The sequence below is a fragment of the Homo sapiens genome, chromosome 22, assembly GCF_000001405.40.
Source record: "Homo sapiens chromosome 22, GRCh38.p14 Primary Assembly".
NCBI classification, from domain to species: Eukaryota; Metazoa; Chordata; class Mammalia; order Primates; family Hominidae; genus Homo; species Homo sapiens.
Genome location: NC_000022.11, coordinates 31,208,227 through 31,225,513, shown reverse-complemented (window position 1 = coordinate 31,225,513; position 17,287 = coordinate 31,208,227). Strand labels below are relative to the sequence as shown.

General features: G+C 46.3%; 1 protein-coding gene and 1 pseudogene across 1 annotated transcript in view, besides 4 other annotated features; one reads left to right on the top strand and one right to left on the bottom strand.

The window, feature by feature from the left end:
• Window positions 1-13,216, bottom strand: part of LIMK2 (LIM domain kinase 2) — a 67,783-nt gene extending 54,567 nt beyond the window's left edge. The window contains exon 1 of the mRNA NM_005569.4: window positions 13,090-13,216. Coding sequence (NP_005560.1) covers window positions 13,090-13,105 — 16 coding nt within the window. The 5' untranslated portion in view covers window positions 13,106-13,216. The remainder of the gene's footprint in view (window positions 1-13,089) is intronic.
• On the top strand, window positions 2,666-2,755 carry RNU6-1128P (RNA, U6 small nuclear 1128, pseudogene; annotated as a pseudogene).
• Window positions 3,565-3,654: an enhancer, noted in NCBI's record as "active region_18850". NCBI's record gives its function as "activates an Ori minimal core promoter by ATAC-STARR-seq in GM12878 lymphoblastoid cells {active_cell/tissue: GM12878}" and the evidence as "EXISTENCE:reporter gene assay evidence [ECO:0000049][PMID:35858748]".
• Window positions 11,608-12,533: an enhancer, noted in NCBI's record as "H3K27ac-H3K4me1 hESC enhancer chr22:31608967-31609892 (GRCh37/hg19 assembly coordinates)". NCBI's record gives its function as "activates a minimal SCP1, AML or CMV promoter by ChIP-STARR-seq in naive H9 embryonic stem cells {active_cell/tissue: H9 hESC(naive)}" and the evidence as "EXISTENCE:reporter gene assay evidence [ECO:0000049][PMID:30033119]".
• Window positions 13,116-13,515: a silencer, noted in NCBI's record as "silent region_13624". NCBI's record gives its function as "represses an Ori minimal core promoter by ATAC-STARR-seq in GM12878 lymphoblastoid cells {active_cell/tissue: GM12878}" and the evidence as "EXISTENCE:reporter gene assay evidence [ECO:0000049][PMID:35858748]".
• Window positions 13,496-13,675: an enhancer, noted in NCBI's record as "active region_18849". NCBI's record gives its function as "activates an Ori minimal core promoter by ATAC-STARR-seq in GM12878 lymphoblastoid cells {active_cell/tissue: GM12878}" and the evidence as "EXISTENCE:reporter gene assay evidence [ECO:0000049][PMID:35858748]".

Here is a 17,287-nt window from a genome sequence, read left to right as displayed (position 1 = left end):
CATGGCCTCAAAAGTAGTCTCATTCCATTTTCTAAAAATGGTTCTGATTATCCTTTTTTCTACTGAAACAAAACTTGCCTTTTTCTAGAACTTTCAGCCTTTGCTTATAGCTCTGAGAAGAAGAAACGAACACAATCTCCTTCTTTTCAGTGTCAGCCCTTCCTATGACTATTCCCAGCCAACAGCCAGAAACTTCTCTCTGGGTTAAACATGTTACTGCCTTTTCCTATTCCTCAAAAGCCCTGTTTTTTCAGATTTTTCCATCACCTAATCCAAGAGCTCATTTACTCAACCAACATTGAATAAATTGGTCCTCTAGATCAGCAGTCCTCAACCTTTTTGGCACCAGGGGCCAATTTTTCCACGGACCCTAGGCTGGGGGTTGGGGGGCGGGGGGATGGTTTTGGTATCAAACTGTTCCAACTCAGATCATCAGCCATTAGTGAGATTCTCATAAGGAGCATGCAACCCAGATCCCTTGCATGTGCAGTTCACAATAGGGTTCACACTCCTATGAGAATCTAATGCCACCACTGATCTGACAGGAGGCAGAGCTCAGGCAGCAATGCTCACTGGCCCGCCGCTCACCTCCTGCTGTGCAGCCTGGTTCCTAACAGGCTACAGACCCGTACCAGTTGGCGGTCCAGGGGCTGGGGACCCCTGTTCTAGATACAAAGCTCTTTGTATGTTGGAGGCTGTTAGATTACATAATCTCTGCTCCTTAAGAAGCAAATCCACTGGAAAAGAACTGCTCTTTCATGTTGTTGATTTTTCACTTGGATGTTATTTCAGAGATAGAACCAAGTATTATTTTAGTTCAGAAAAAGAAAAGTAATGGGTATAAAAGGGGAAGAACAAATATTTAATGAATGCCTCCTATATGCCAAGAACTCTGCTAGGTGCTTTCATAGACCTAATCTCATTTAATTCTCAAAATAATCCTGTGACACAGGTATTATTATATTCACTTAATGGATAGGAAAATTAAAACTTGAGGCAGGGGGCAGGGTTGACTAGCTAAGTGGTGGATCTAGCATTCATACTCAGGTCTGGCTCATTCTAAAGCTTCTGCTCTTTCCATTCTACCATGTCAACTCTTGTTCACTCCAATGAGGGGAACCAGGAAAGTCTTTGTAGAGGAAGCTGACACTTGAGCTGAGCCTTGCAAGATAGGGAAGACTTACCTATCACTGGCTGAGAAAGGAGGGTGAAGGGTTGTGTGAGCTCAGAGACCAGCATAGACAAAAGCACAGAGTCGGTCCATGTTCCTCCAAAAAGAGAGGCCTCAAACAAAATACAATACTCCTGGTATGGCTCAGATGTCAACTTCTTGAAATAAAGAGGACAGCTGAGATCAAGCTGTGGTACCTGACTCAGCCCTAGAAAGCAGGACAAGGTTGTTACAAGACTCCCTTGTGCGCTCTGTGTATGCAGCTTTGTTCTCTCTGGGTAACTACAGACTGCCACAGGCACAGTGACAGTCACCGAACCCTGTTTCACAGGCACAGGGGCCATGAATAGACAAAGCACAGCTCCTGGCACTTCAAGATTGCTCAACATCATTCTGGAGCAGCCAATGTACACAGTTGTCCCCCTCGTTCCCCAGAGAAGAGTTAAACAAGCTGGCAAGAGGCCTTAAAACACCACCTCAACCCACCCATTCCACTCTTCTCATGCCTCAGTAATAGGATATATATATGCCCATCACTCATTCTTCCTGGGTCTAAAATCCTCAGACTCCTTGTCAAGAGGGGCCTTTTTGGTTTTAGGGTGACAGTGGTCACAGAGTATGCCATCTCTCTCACAAACTCCAAGGCAGAAAGTCTGAGAGACTCACTCAAACCAATCCCAGGTTGGGTTACGGACAGTGGACAAGACAATGAATTAGTGAGAGATTTTAATGAACACAAACATCCAAATGAATCTTCCAAGTTTTGGAAATATTTTTGGAACTCTTACATGTAAGAGCTTTCAGGGTCAGTTTATGAGCTGCCATGCCCCACCCCCAGCACATCTCATTATTTTAGAGCCACACCTTGTTTCTTGTTTTTACTTTTTAACCCAAAATTAAGTCTGTAACCTGACCACCCACTTACTCAACAATTCAATCTCTTGGCTCTGAATGATTTCTATTTCCAAAATTCAAACAGGATCAGGACTTTCCACCATGAGGATATTCAAGATAACTTGTTATTGCCATACCCTCCAGAGCTTGCCCTGCTTTCTCCAGTCTTGAGAAACCCAAAGACATTCAATCAACACATACTTTAGTACCTGCTTTGGGTTAAGCATGAAAGACCCGAAATCAAGACCCTCTACTCTCTCCTCTCATATCCACCTGGTTTCACTTTCCAAATGTCTCTCTAGCCCTTCCCTGTCCTTCACCCCAGCCCTACTTCAGATTTTTGGCTTCTTTTCCCTATCTGCTGTACTCAGCTGGCTCATCCACACTGCAAGCTATCTCAGCTCTGGGTTAGACTCCCCAGTGTCCACGGAACAAAGGCTGGGCTACTCGGTATGACACCCCTGTTCTGGATCCCATTCCATCTTACTTCTTAGAAGAAGTGCACTTTTAGTTATCTTTACAGCACCCCTCTCCCTCACTGGCTCCTCCTTATCTTTTAAATAAGTTCAAGTCACTGCCATCAAAAAAACCTCTGGTACTCTCGCTTCAGCAGCACATACATTAAAATTGGACTGAGACACAGAAGGTTAGCATGGCCCCTGCGCAAGGATGACATGCAAACTCGTTAAGTTTTAAAATCTAATTTAGTTTTAAAATCTAATTTTAAAAAAAACCAAACCACTGGATCCTTTTCTCCTCTAGCTACCATCCTTGTTTCTCCCCTTCACAGCCACATGTATGAAAAAGTTGTCTTGGGAGGCCAAGGTGGGTGGATCACTTGAGGTCAGGAGTTTGAGACCAGCCTGGCCAACATGGTAAAACCCCACCTCTACTAAAACTACAAAAATTGGCTGGGCATGGTGGTGCACGCCTGTAGTCCCAGCTACTCAGGAAGCTGAGGCAGGAGAATCGCTTGAACCCAGGAGGTGGAGGTTGCAGTAATCTCGCCACTGCACTCACGCCTGGGCAACAGAGCGAGACTCTGTCTCAAAAAAAAAAAAAAAAAAAAAAAAAAAGAGGCTGGGCACGGTGGCTCATGCCTGTAATCCCAGTACTTTGGGAGGCTGAGGCGGGTGGATCACCTGAGGTCGGGAATTTGAGACCAGCCATGACCAACATGGAGAAACCACATCTCTACCAAAAATACAAAATTAGCCAGGCATGGTGGTGCATGCCTGTAATCCCAGCTACTCAGGAGGCTGAGGCAGGAGAATGGCTTGAACCCGGGAGGCAGAGGTTGCAGTGAGCTGAGATCTCGCCATTGCACTCCAGCCTGGGCAAGAGTGAAACTCCAACTCAAAAAAAAAGAAAAAAGAAAAAAAGTTGTCTACACATCGCTGCCCTCATTTCCTCACTTCCCACTTTCTGCATAATGCACTGCAATCTGGCTTCCACCCCCACCATTTCTCTGAAACTGTCTCACCAAGGTCAACAGTAACAGTAACTGCTTATTGCTAAATTCAATGGACCCGCTTCAGTCATTCTTTCAGCAAATATTTATTGCATGCCAACTATGCATCTGACACTGTGTTGGGGAAAGAGGAGCAAACAAGAGAGAGATTAAACACAAAGCAAATATTAAACAATAATATAATTATTTATTGAGGGCCGGGCGCAGTGGCTCACGCCTGTAATCCCAGCACTTTGGGAGGCTGAGGCAGGTGGATCACAAGGTCAGGAGTTCGAGACCAGCCTGGCCAATATGGTGAAACCTTGTCTCTACTACAAATACAAAAATTAGCCAGGCATGGTGGTGGGCGCCTGTAGTCCCAGCTACTCAGGAGGCTGAGGCAAGAGAATTGCTTGAACCTGGTAGGCGGAGGTTGCAGTGAGCCAAGATCATTCCACTGCATTCCAGCTTGGGCGACAGAGCGAGACTCTGTCTCAAAAAATAATAATTATTATTATTATTTATTTATAATTGGGGCAAGTGGTACGAAGATATCAAGTTCATAACTAGGAAAAGGGCGGGCGGCCAAAGTATTCCTTGAGGAAGTAATTTCCAAGCTGAGCTCTAAAGGATGAATACAAATTAACGGGGCAAAAAAGGGGGGAAGGAAGGCTAACACTGGAGAGGGGGGACATGTGCAAAGGCCCTGGGGCAGGAACAAAAACTTCTCACACATCATTAAAGTTGGCTTTTGCTACCTCCAAAGGGCTAGCAAACCATGTCTGGCCCCTGGTCTGCTACAATCCTTCAATAAACAGTTACTGAAAGAGCAAATGGTCCTTACAATGTGGTCCCAAAGGACCCTTCTCTCTCACCATTCCTTACAAAAGAATGCTCTAGTTACATTTTGACCTATTTTCTATTCCTGCCACTTTTATTCATGTACTTGCATCCTGACATTCACACCTCCAGTTATTCTCTATGTATAAGCTTCTCTATCTTTTCCCTTAATCAAAAAAAAAATTTTTTTTTTTGAAACAGAGTTTTGCTTTTGTTGCCCAGGCTGGAGTGCAATGGCACAATCTCGGCTCACCACAACCTCCGCCTCCCAGGTTCAAGTGATTCTCCTGCCTCAGCCTCCCGAGTATAGCTGGGATTGTGGGCATGCGCCACGACGCCCGGCTAATTTTGTATTTTTAGTAGAGACGGAGTTTCTCCATGTTGGTCAGGCTGGTCTCAAACTCCCAACCTCAGGTGGTCTGCCCACCTCGGCCTCCCAAAGTGCTGGGATTACAGGCGTGAGCCACTGCTCCCGGCCCCTTAATCAAATTTCTATCCTTTCTTTAAAGTTCCCTAAAATCAGGCAGTGTTTGTTTCATTTTGTCTATACCTATTTTACATAATTTGTTATTTAATTACAGTTCACTGCATATGTTTCTCTCTCCTTCAGTCCCTCTCTCTCCACTCTCCTCCCCCACACCCCATTCAGAGAACTAAGGTGTAAGAACTGTATCTTTATTATGTTCTTATCTCCAGGGCCTAACCTTGGGCCTGGTGCAAAACAGACATTCCTTTGTGTGGTGAACCCAACTGAAAATTTGGATCCAACTGCCAGCTATAAAAGCAATTTCCAAAGATAAGTTCCAAAGGTCAGCACAGATGATTCCACTGGAATAACTGTTCTGGCTCCCAGATTACCTATGAGTAGTCTCATGTGGATAAACCTGGCCTCAGTTTACCTGTTATGCATTCACACTGCTTTTCTGTTAGGAAGTACCTGAGCAAAGATATTCACCCAAAGCACACAGCCTCCTACGCCCAGACCCTCTTCAAGAGAACACTCTTGACTTCTTTAGCTCTCTTACAGTCTTAAAAATTCATTGATCTATTCTCTTACCACCTTTATTCTAGGAAATGTAAAAGAAATGTAATACTGTAATGCAAAGTCTTAGGGATTTCTGTGAAGCCTAGTGGAGGATCAATCCAAAGTCCAGTCAGCCTGGGAAGTTCTTTCTTAAGAAAATATCTCATTGTACCAGGCTGTTCATTCTCTCCCTCTATAGTGTTTACCTCTCATATTTGCAGACTTATCAACAGTGGCTACTGATTGTTAAGAGTCCAGAAAAGAGCCGGGCGTGGTGGCTCACGCCTGTAATCCCAGCACTTTGGGAGGCCGAGGCGGGTGGATCACGAGGTCAAGAGATCAAGGCCATCCTGGCTAACACGGTGAAACCCTATCTCTACTAAAAAATACAAAAAATTAGCCGGGCATGGTGATGGGCGCCTGTAGTCCCAGCTACTCGGGAGGCTGAAGCAGGAGAATGGCATGAACCCGGGAGGTGGAGCTTGCAGTGAGCCGAGATCGTGCCACTGCGCTCCAGCTTGGGCGACAGAGCCAGACTCTGTCTCAAAAAAATAAAATAAAATAAAAAAAAGAAGAGTCCAGAAAAGGAGCTTGATTTAAGTAAATGTTCACAGTACCTTCAAACAATAAAGGACCCTTATTAGGTGTTTAATAAACAGAAAACTGTGTTTTCAGTTATTATTGGAATTTGTTGCTTTTAATAAGTGCAACTGTGCAACGTAAGGTGAGCACTGCAACAAATGTCTCATTATAGGGGTTCTCACCTTTAAGACCTTTTCAATCTTGGTATAAAATACATTCACTTTACATTCACTTTATGAATGCTTCTCTCTCCCAACTTAATTAGCAATGTGGCCCTCAAACAAATGTGAATCCACTGGGGCAGGCGCCAAAAAAAAAAGAAGGAAAATAGACTTGCCTAACCACCACAAAGCTACTGAAAGATGGTCCAGGAGGGATTCAAACCCATGCTCAGAGACTACCATGCCAGTCATATTTTTAATACCCTATGCAGCCTCAGACAAGTTGAGACTTGCTCAAGAACACACAGCTATTCAGTGGAAGGGTTGGCCTGGTATCCCAGCTCAGAGCCAATGCAGTCCCCACAATGTTCACCTTAAATTTGGTCTAAGAGCTTGGTTTCTGCAAATGAGTCCTTTTTAGGCTTCAAAATGGTGAGAAATCCTCAAGCACTGAGAGCTCATGAGACTCTAATGCCTAGCTTAAATCAACATCCTATCCTTTCATTTAAAAAAATCTTTGAAGCTTCTCACGTTCCACCAGACAACGAGAACCAGGAACAAAACTCAGCCAATTCAGTGCAGCATAAAACAAGTATGGTAACCCCTGGGCCCCTTGGGAACTGGCGGGTCAGGTGTATAAATCCCACTTGTTCTGGGACAAAGCAGAAAGCAGAAGGGCAGGGCAGCAGCTGCTGGGGAAAAGCCAAGAGAAAAAGATCACATTTTAATGAAGTGACTATCAAAAAGACTAACAGTAAGGATTAACATGCCTCTAGATACTCTCCCTGTAACCCAAAGGGTTTTCTTCCTCACTAGCTTACCAAATTTTACCAAAAGGAGTGTCTCAGGAAAAAAAAAGATTAGATGATTTTTAAAAGAGCTTTCGAGCTTCTCTAAACCTTGGATTGTTCTTTTGTAAAAGGAGGGATCAAGTGATTTCTTCCAGCTCTGAGAGACTGACACCAAACCAAGGGCCTCTCCTTTTTCAGGTTAAGGCACAGACACAGGTATCTCAGAAAGTTTCCTTCTTGCTGTTATTCTCTTCTTCCCTTCTTTGGTTTATTTGGAAAAATTTGTGAGGGGTAAATGTATGTGTGTTTGAAACCTGAATCTGTCACTGTTTGCCTCTGTGTCCTTGGGCAAATTATTTGACCTCTCTGAGCTTGTCTCCTAATCTTTAAAAAGAGGATAATACCACCTGCTTTACAGGATTACCAAGTGGATTAATAGAAATAATGTAATAGATGTGAAAATATCTCCCATGGTGCCAGGCACTTAGTTGGACCGATTTGTGACTAACTTCTCTTCCTTCCTGCGTGTGTATCTAGGAAGTTGGCTGGGGAAAAGGTTAAGCTGAATACAGAAACTTCTAAAATCTGAAGGGAAGGTTTTCAAAACAAACTCAGCAAACTTTTTTCTATGTGCCCATGTACAAGGCACAGAGTAGGCCAGGAATTACTGGGGCCCTTGGTGTGTACTCATGGGGTGTGAAGGACATGGATATACACAGAAATAACATGTCAGAGAGGGACAAACCAGGTGCTACAGGCAAGGCAAACTCAGTACATTAACAAAATACACTGCAGTGACAAATGAGACAGATGGTTCTTATGTCTTTCAGGCCACCCAGACTGCAACTTCCAACCAGAAGTTCACTCAACTGTGAATGAGTAGGCATTTTCTTATCTATGGAGGGCCTATAAAAATATCTTTATCAGAGAACTGGTTAACCAATTGATATATTCTCATACAGCAGTTCTCTGCCAGTTGTCAATGATAGAGGAAAAAAACTACTTTATGCCAGACAATGTCCTAAGCACTACGCAAGTATGAGCTAACTGAATACAAAGATCCCATGAGATCAGGACTAGTCTTAAAGAACTATTATTGTTCTCATTTTACGGAAGAGGAAACTGAAATACTCAGCTAATAAATGTTTGAGCTGGGATTAGACCACAGGTCTAGTCTCCAAAGCCTGTCTTTTTTTTTTTTTCTGAGACGGAGTCTCGCTCTGTCACCCAGGCTGGAGTGCGGTGGTGCAACCTCGGCTCACTGCAACCTCTGCCTCCCAGGTTCAAGCAATTCTCTGCCTCAGCCTCCCGAGTAGCTGGGATTACAGGCACCTGCCCCCATGCCCGGCTAATTTTTGTATTTTAGTAGAGATGGGGTTTCACCATCTTGGCCAGACTGGTTTGAACTCCTGACCTTGTGATCCACCCACCTCAGCCTCCCAAAGTGCTGGGATTACAGGCGTGAGCCACTGCACCTGGCTCAAAGCCTGTCTTTAACTACATTTTAGACTTTCTTTCCTGGACAAAACAAATTACAGGCAGAAAGACATGATAAAAAAGAATCCCAGAAAGAATGTTCAAGGAACACTTTAATGAAACCAGGCATTGGTTTCATGTTCTAGTTACTATTCAATGTAAATTAATAGGTAAAATAGTCTAATTCTTTCTACTATATAAAAATAGATAAAGGATGAGAAAGAAGGTAGACTTGTAAGAGACTGCTACAGTTTCAGGTCCTCTCATTGAAATGAGATGTGTGTGATGGTGGGCCCTATCAGACCCGCTCAAGGTTACACTAACAAGAAGGCAGCCCTGTTCTGGGAATCAGCTCAGCCTCCAGAAGATGCAGAAAATCCACCATGAATGTGGAAAGCCTAATACAGCCCCTTGATCATGACGGATTTTTATTTAGTTTTGAAATCTTGTGGTCATTTTGGACCCTACCCTGCTCCATCACATATCCAGGACCATCCAAGTCACCCTGGCCTGCCTATGTCAGGAGGCATCTTTTATTGGTTGGTGCCTTCTTCATTGCTACCACTAAGACCTCATCTCAGGGCCCACTATACCCACCTCCAGATTGGTGGCCCTGTGCCCACATCATGAGTCTTCCTTTCTCTAAACCTACGGTGCCTACTGTAGACTAGAAACTTCCAAAATCCTCAGCCTGGCATTAAACCCTCTAGTCCGGTTGCACCCACATTCTCAGCTGTACCTTCCACTTCCTATGAATCTTCCACCTCCCAATCCTTGCCTCTACCACACGTATTTGCTACCCTTTATGAAGACCTGAAACTTGCCTACTTTTGTCTCCTACTCCCAAAGTTTCTTCCCTACTAAGATATCATCTTCCCCACCTTCTTTAAGCCTATTTAAGATTTCTCAAGTCTTACCCACTTCAAGAAGTATTCCCTAACCAAAACTGATGGCCACCCTGGATACCCTGCTATTCTTTAAACATGCCAAACACATTCCCTGACAACTCACTTCTTCTATCCCCTTACCCTACTTCACTTCTCTTCAATGGATTTATCCCTGAATATGATGTTCATACATTTACTTGCTGTCTATCTCTCCCCACCAGAACATACACTACATGAGGGAAGGGATTTGGTCTATCTTGTTCCTTGCTGTATCCCTAGGGGCCAAAAGAGTTTAGCACATAGCAGGAACTCAATATATATTTGTGGAATAAATGTTTGAAGAGAATTCTCCCTCATCTTTGAAATTCTATAATGTTATCATACGCAAGCCTTATAACAGCTTGTCTTATCAATTTTTTTCTTTTTTTTAAGAGATGGGGATCTTGCTATGTAGCCCAGGCTGGAGTGCGGTGGCTTTTCACAGGCGCAATCCCACTACTGATCAGCATGGCAGTTTTGTTTTTTGCCTTAATTACCTTAACTAGACAGTAAGTTTCTCAGAGGCACAAACTATATATAACTCATTTCCACAAATACTTATTAAGGGCTTACCATGTGCCAGACCCTGTACGTCTTAAGCAGCCTGGAATACTGGAAAGAACACTGCAGAAGTCTTACCTTGGTTCTGGCTCTACCACTAGTTGAGTGACCCTGGACAACTCCGTTTTTTTTCCCTGAGCCTCAGTTTCTTCATAGGTAAAACAAGGAGACTATACATTATCTCAAAACTCTCTCCTGGCTCTAACACCTGTTAAAATTTATAAGAGGTAAAACTTGGTCCTGCCCAGTGCCACAGACATCACAGGCACTCAGTAAATATTTGATTTGTTATCGATTCTCCGGTTACACGAGGAATCTGAGGTGTCTCAGAACATGGTTTGAATGGAATAACAAGTGAAAGTTTAAGTCCCACTTCCTTCTCAGACTCCATAGTCAACTTCATTCTGCTTTTTGTGCTACAGAGAGGAGGAAGCACTAAACTTGAAGTTGGAAAATATGAACTCTGACCACCACTGCTCATTTAGCTATGGAACCTTGTCATTTCTGGGCCTGTCTCCTCATCTATAAAAAAGCCATACTTGGCTGGGCATGGTGGCTCACGCCTATAATCCTAGCATTTTGGGAGTCCAAGGCGGGTGGACTGCCTGAGCTCAGGAGTTTGAGACCAGCCTGGGCAACATGGTAAGACCCCGTCTCTAATAAAAATACAAAAAATTAGCTGGGCGTGGTAGCACTTGCCTGTAGTCCCAGCTACTCAGGAAGCTGAGGCAGAAGATTCACTTGAACCTGGGAGGTGGAGGGTACAGTGAGTCTGGATCGCGCCACTGTACTCCAGCATGGGCAACAGAGCAAGACTCTTCCTCCCCACCCCCTACAAAAAAATCAAAAAACCATATTGACCTCCCAGCTCCAAGGCTCAAAGGCACTACATGCCTTCCTACCCTAGGGCCTTTTTATGCTGTTTCCTCTGCCTGGAATGCTCTGTGAGCTTTTTTTGCCAGGCTAACTTTTACTTATCTCCAGGGGTCAGCATAAACTTGCATTTTTAAGAAAAGTATTCCCTTCAAAAAAAAAAAAAGTAGAGGATGGGCATGGTGGTTCATGCCTGTAATCCCAGCACTTTGGGAGGTTGAGACAGGAGGATGGCTTGAAACCACCGTGGGCAACATAGTGAGACCCTGTCTCTACCAAAACAGAAAAAAAAGTAGAGAAAACCCTCACCCCTGGTGCACTCTTACAGCACTTATCTCAATTGTTTACCTTAACTATTATAGCATTTATTGCAATTGTTACAATTATTTATTGTCCATCTCTAGGATTATTAAGCACCACAAAGCCAAGAACTATGTCACCACTGTACTCAGCATTTGGCTAAGTATATGACACAGAAGAATCCAACAAATATTCTTTGAATGAAAGAAAGAATGCATAAACTAATGCATCTAGAGGCTTTATGCCTCTAGACTATTGTACTGTGAAACCTTTCACAATTTTCTAAGAAACAGGGTTCAAGACAGGCAACCTATATTACACAGCTGTTAGAAAAAGTTACTGGAAATCGGCCGGGTGCGGTGGCTCACGCCTGTAATCCCAGCACTTTGGGAGGCCGAAGCGGGCGGATCACAAGGTCAGGAGTTCAAGACCAGCCTGGCCAATATGGTGAAACCCCATCTCTACTAAATATACCAAAAAAATTAGCCGGGCGTGGTGGCGGGCCCCTGTTGTCCCAGCTACTCGGGAGGCTGAGGTAGGAGAATCGCTTGAACCCGGGAGGCAGAGGTTGCAATGAGCCAAGATTGTGCCACTGCACCCCAGCCTGGGCGACAGAGCAAGACTCCATCTAAGAAAAAAAAAAAAAAGTTACTGGAAATCATTCGAGTTGAAGGACTCTGTAAGCTTAAAAAAAATCTTTTTTAAGAGACAAGGTTTTGTTTTTAAGAGATGAAGTCTCGCTATATTGCCCAAGCTGGTCTCAAACTCCTGGACTCAAGCGATCCTCCTGCCCTGCCCTCCCAAAGTGCTGGGATTACAGGCATGAGCCACCACGCCCAGCCTAAAAAAATTTGTTTTAGGCATTTCCACCCCTAGCTCTCTCCAGAAGTCTGTTATCACCAGTGAAGAGAAAATCCCATGCTCCCTTGCTGAGGAAGTGACCCACTGGTAGCCCAGTCCTTGCATTCAAGATGAAGGAAGTGACTGTCCACAGACGGAAAGCCAGGAAGCAGGGGGCAGATAGCCAGCCCCCCTCCACCTCAATACCCTCTTGCCGCCTCTCCAAAGCTTCTGGACGCTGACCCTGGTGGACCCAGAGGTGGGCCACCCACACAGGTGGCTGGGAAACATAGGAGACAGAAGGTTCCTACTGCTGGGGGAAAAGATGGGGAAGGCAGGAAGCTGCAGGGTGGTGTGTGAGGTGGCGGGGAGGTGACTGCAGGTGCAACTAACCCAACTCTGAAGCTACCCTTCACCCTTAGACAACTCTTCCTTCCAGGAGGTGTTTGGCCGAATCCCTCTAGTCTTTAGTCTAGAGAGGCCAAGGGAGCTTCCACAGGAGGACTCAGAACCCCAGGTGGCCTACTTTCGCCACCTGTAGCAGAGATCTTTGGGCCCCAAAAAGAATGGTCCGATCTCTCCTTACCCTTAGTCCTGTCCTAAACCTCAAGGGGCTCCATACTCCCTTATTTTCTGCAAAGAGCTCCCAGCCCCGGGGGACTCCCAGACACCAAGATGCCCGCGAGAAGCCTTGGGTCTTGGCAGGGAAGTCACATCCTCCATTTCCCTCAGAAAACCCAGAACCCGGGGTAACTCTCCTAATTGTCCTGAACCCTAGAGGATCCTGTACTCCTCAAATTCCACAGAGCTTCCACTATAAGAGAACCCCATGCTTTTCAACTTCCTTAAAAAGGGTTAATTTGGGGGTCTGCGGCCGCCAGGTCCCTCCAAAAAGCTGGATTCCTGGCAGACCCAGAATCTCTTCCTCCCCGGGACCTCAACTCGCGGGAAGCCTCCCAACCCGCCTGCCCCTCGGAGCCCTCTGTCTCCAGGATGCCCTGCCTCCCCATTCCCGGAGTCCCACCCTCCAAATGCCTGGGGAGCGCTGTGCCCACCCCGCCTCCCAGCTTTTCTGAGGAGCTCGGACCCACGAGGACCCAACCAGCCCGAAACCCCCGAGAGACAGCCGGTTTCCCTCAGGCGCCATGGAACCGGACTTCGGAGATAACAGCGGGACAGGGCGGAGCAGCCCTTCCTTACCCGCCAGCGCGGACATGGTCCCGGGAGCGCGGAAATGGGGAGGAGGAGGCGGGGGACACAGCAGCTCCCCTCAGTTCCCTACAACTCCCCTCAGCTCCTGCCGCCGCCGCCTCAGGCGCGGGAAGACCACAGCCCCAGGCGCGAACGGGATGCACCGCCTACGGCGCCCTGGGAGGACCAAACCACACCTGGCACAGGGGACTGCCCGCCGACGCCCCGCCCCGCCGCTCTCAGGCCTCGCTCCCGAGACGCGGCCCCGCCCCCTGGCTCTGGCTCGGGCTCTGCAGCGGCCCTGGCGCCCCCTAGTGCGAGCGGCGTCCCCTCGAGGTGCTCCCGCCGGTAAGGTTGATTCTGCGGGGGCCGGAAGTCTCAACACGGATGACAGTCCGCACCCATCTAGTCGCCCTCATTTACAGATAGGGAAAGTTAAGGATCAGAGGCTAAGTTCGACTACATTGAAATGGCTTCGCTCATTAGGAGGAGAGCCGGGATGGGAGCCCAGGCCTGCTAACTGCCAGTTCAGAGCTCTTTCCAGTAGTGTTTGGAATCAGGAATATTACAATGGAGGAGCCAGGTCTATCCCACAAACAGCTTTGAGGATGGACTTTTCTTAGAAGCTTCTAGCTCAGAGAAACCACTTCTCTGCGCCACTATGAGTAAGCTGACAGTAAATAATCTCTAAGTCAAAGACAGTTGGAGGCGACCAACCAGCATTCCAGGAGCAGATCCTCAGCCAGGCCAATTAGGTTTAGCGCAGGACGCTGGAGCTTGTGCGCCGCATTGGAAGACGAGCACTCCCCTGCAGGAACATGGGCCTACCATTCCCAGGTCTTCCAACCTTTCAAAACATGCCAAAAATCCAGATATTTAGGTGAAATTTGCCACTTTTAAAAAATGTTGATAGCATCAAAAAGTTCTTAAAATGCCATGTAGACCAAATGAAACACACCTGGCCACTAGATTTGCCCTGTGGGCTGCCAGTTTACAATCTTCTATGAGGAGGAGGGATTACAGGACTAAGAGTTAGGACAGCTGACTGGGTTATGGCAGCTGCTAGCTGGCTGAGTAGCTTTGAGAACCACTTCCGCTCATTAGGTTTGGAAGGAGATTGGGGTCCTCTGTGTGATTAAGATATTAATACATCATCAGCCAGGCCAGCTGGTCCCTGATGACCCACCCTCCCATCAGATTCTCTCACGCTGGGTCTTTCACAATTGTCATTTCCTTACATCAGATTTAGATCACAGGAAACATGTCCAAATGACCAGAAAGAGGATGGAGCCCAGGGAAATGGATTCTGTCCCCTCCACCCCCACCCCTGACCAAAGACAAAGTTCAACCCAGCTGCCTCTGGTCCCAGCAGTTGGGTAAGCAAAGGCAAAGGCAAAGACAAAGGCGAGCACAATTCTCTTCCTTCCTGCTCTAATTCAAACCGGATGCCGGTCAGATTTTTCTCTTCTGGGTGTGGCAGGTGGCTCACGATGTCCTGAGTGTGCACAAAGTGCTGGGGAGGAGGGCTCTGTCCCATTTCCGTTAATTCCTGGGAACTCTTTTCAGTACTCAGTTTTGTAGTTTCTGAGGAAATCATTATAGTAAACACAAGATTGTGTATTGAATTAAAGTGACAGGAATCCAGAGACTCTCCTGACAAGCTGCCTCATGGCTAGCAAACAGGGGACAGGGACTTTCCCCATCCTTCCTACAGAAAGATGTAACACTGTATTTTCCCAGGCAACAAAGCACTGGCATCCTGGGAACCAAAACCTCCTGGGTGTCTTCCCTCTCCCTCCGTTCCACACCAAGGCACCCAGGTCTATCTCTTCTCCCTCCTCATTCTCTCTCACATTCCACTTCCTCCTACCTCCAGCCTCATGGTCTTCACCAGCAGGGAGCTGGGGAATAGCCAAGTCCCCCAAGTTCCTCCCAGGGAAGTTCAGGCGACTCTGAGAAACACAAGTTGAAAATGTAATGGAAGGGAATAGCTTTCTATAGAAATGCTATAGCCAAGAGATATATTTTTAATATGGACCCAAAGAACATTCCAGAAATCACTTGTGAACTCAAGGGGGACTTCTGGAGGGTAGAGAAAGCCTGGGCAGGGAGTAGACCAACTGAGTTTCAATAGCACCCAGGTTACCTGTCCACAGTTTGTTTCACTGGCCATAGCTTGGTCAGTCCCTAGGGCCAGATCCTGCCAGCCGCCTCACAGTCAACTCTCTGAGCCTAGGATCCTGAAACCTGGACCTTGAAAAACAACTCAAGGTTCTGCCCTCTTGAAGGTACTGGTCCACTGGTACCCAACCAGACTTGCCCAGTGTCACTTCCACTTGCTTCAAACTGAGCCAGTCTCTGCCCTCCCTGAATCATCCTACCCAAAACTGACTGTGTTAATCTTCCAAAAGTATGTTTCTGGACCTGTCATCTCTCTGTTCAAAACCCTTCAACAGCACCCCACTGCCTACAAAATAAAAGCCAAACCAGTCCTCATGAGCTGACTACATCTCACCCTGCGGACTTGTCTCCCTATTCCCTTCACTCCAGGACTCTGCTTTTTCCTGAGCACATCCTGCCTTGCGCCACCTGCCATTCCTACAACAACCAGCTCTCCAGGTTCTCTGTAATTTTGTGCCCCACTCTGCCCAGAGTGCAGTCTTGTTTCTCAACTCTAAATGATATAGTGGCATCTGTAACATCACAAAGTAGGACTACCAGACATTAAGTGCCTCCAGGTAAGACGCACCAAGTATATACTATCACCTATGACGTAGTCTTACAAAACAAAAATAATAAGCTTGAATCTGGTCAAGCTTCTAGATCTAACAACCAACTTACAGGAAATACATGGAGAAGAGGAGCTTAATAACATTTCCATGATGCAAATAGCAAAAATGATGCTGTGGGAAATGCAACAGGACAAATAACCTAGTTTCTTTAACAGATAAACTGCAGAGTAGAAAAAATTTCATAGACAGGCCAGGCAAGGTGGCTCACCCCTGTAATCCTAGCACTTTGGGAGGCTGAGGCGGGTGGATCATGAGGTCAGGAGCTTGAGACCATCCTGGCTGACATGGTGAAACCCCGTCTGTACTAAAAATACAAAAAAAATTAGCCGGGCGTGGTGGCGGGCACCTGTAGTCTCAGCTACTTGGGAGGCTGAGGCAGGAGAATTGTGTGAACCCAGGAGGTGGAGCTTGCAGTTAGCCGAGATCCCGCCACTGCACTTCAGCCTGGGCAACAGAGCGAGACTCTGTCACACAAACACACACACAAAAAAACAAAAAATTAGCCAGGCATGATGGCGGGCGCCTGTAGTCCCAGCTACCAAGGAGGCTGAGGCATGAGAATCACTTGAACCCGGGAGACGGGGGCTGTAGTGAGCTGGGATCGCATCACTGCACTCCAGTCTGGGCGGCAAGTGAAACTCTGTCTCAAAAAAAAAAAAAAAAAAAATTCAGAGACAAATAATAGCAATGTATGAAACTGATTTGGATCTCAATTGAAACTACACAAGTTATGAGACAACTAGGGAAATCTGAACAATGTGATTGGATATGATGATTTTAAGAAATTTTTTAAAGGTATTTTGCTTTTTTTTTTTTTTTGAGATGGAGTCTTGCTCTGTCGCCCCGACTGGAGTGCACTGGTGCGATCTCGGCTCACTGCAACCTCTGCCTCCCGGGTTCAAGCGATTCTCCTGCCTCAGTCTCCCGAGTTGCTGAGACTACAGGCGCCTACCGCTACGCCTGGCTAATTTTTTGTATTTTAGTAGAGACGGGGTTTCACTATGTTGCCCAGGTTGGTCTCAAACTCCTGAGCTCTGGCAATCCGCCCGCCTCACCCTCCCAAAGTGCTAGGATCACAGGTGTGTGCCATCGTGCCCGGCATATTTTGCTTGTTTTTAAAATACTTGAGATGCATATCGAAATACTTAATAAATGACATGACTGGGGTTTGTTTCCGAATAGTTCAGACAGTGGGAGAGGAACAGCGTGCGGGAGGTATAGATGCAACAAGACTGATCTGAGTTGATAGTTACTGGAGTTGGGTTATGGCTACATGGAGGCTTTATTGTCCTGTTCTACTACTGTTTTTTTTTTTTTTTCCCCATCGAAAACAAAAACCTAAGGCCGGGCATGGTGGCTTAAACCTGTAATTCCAACACTTTGGGAGGCTGAGGTGGGAGAACCTACTGAGACCG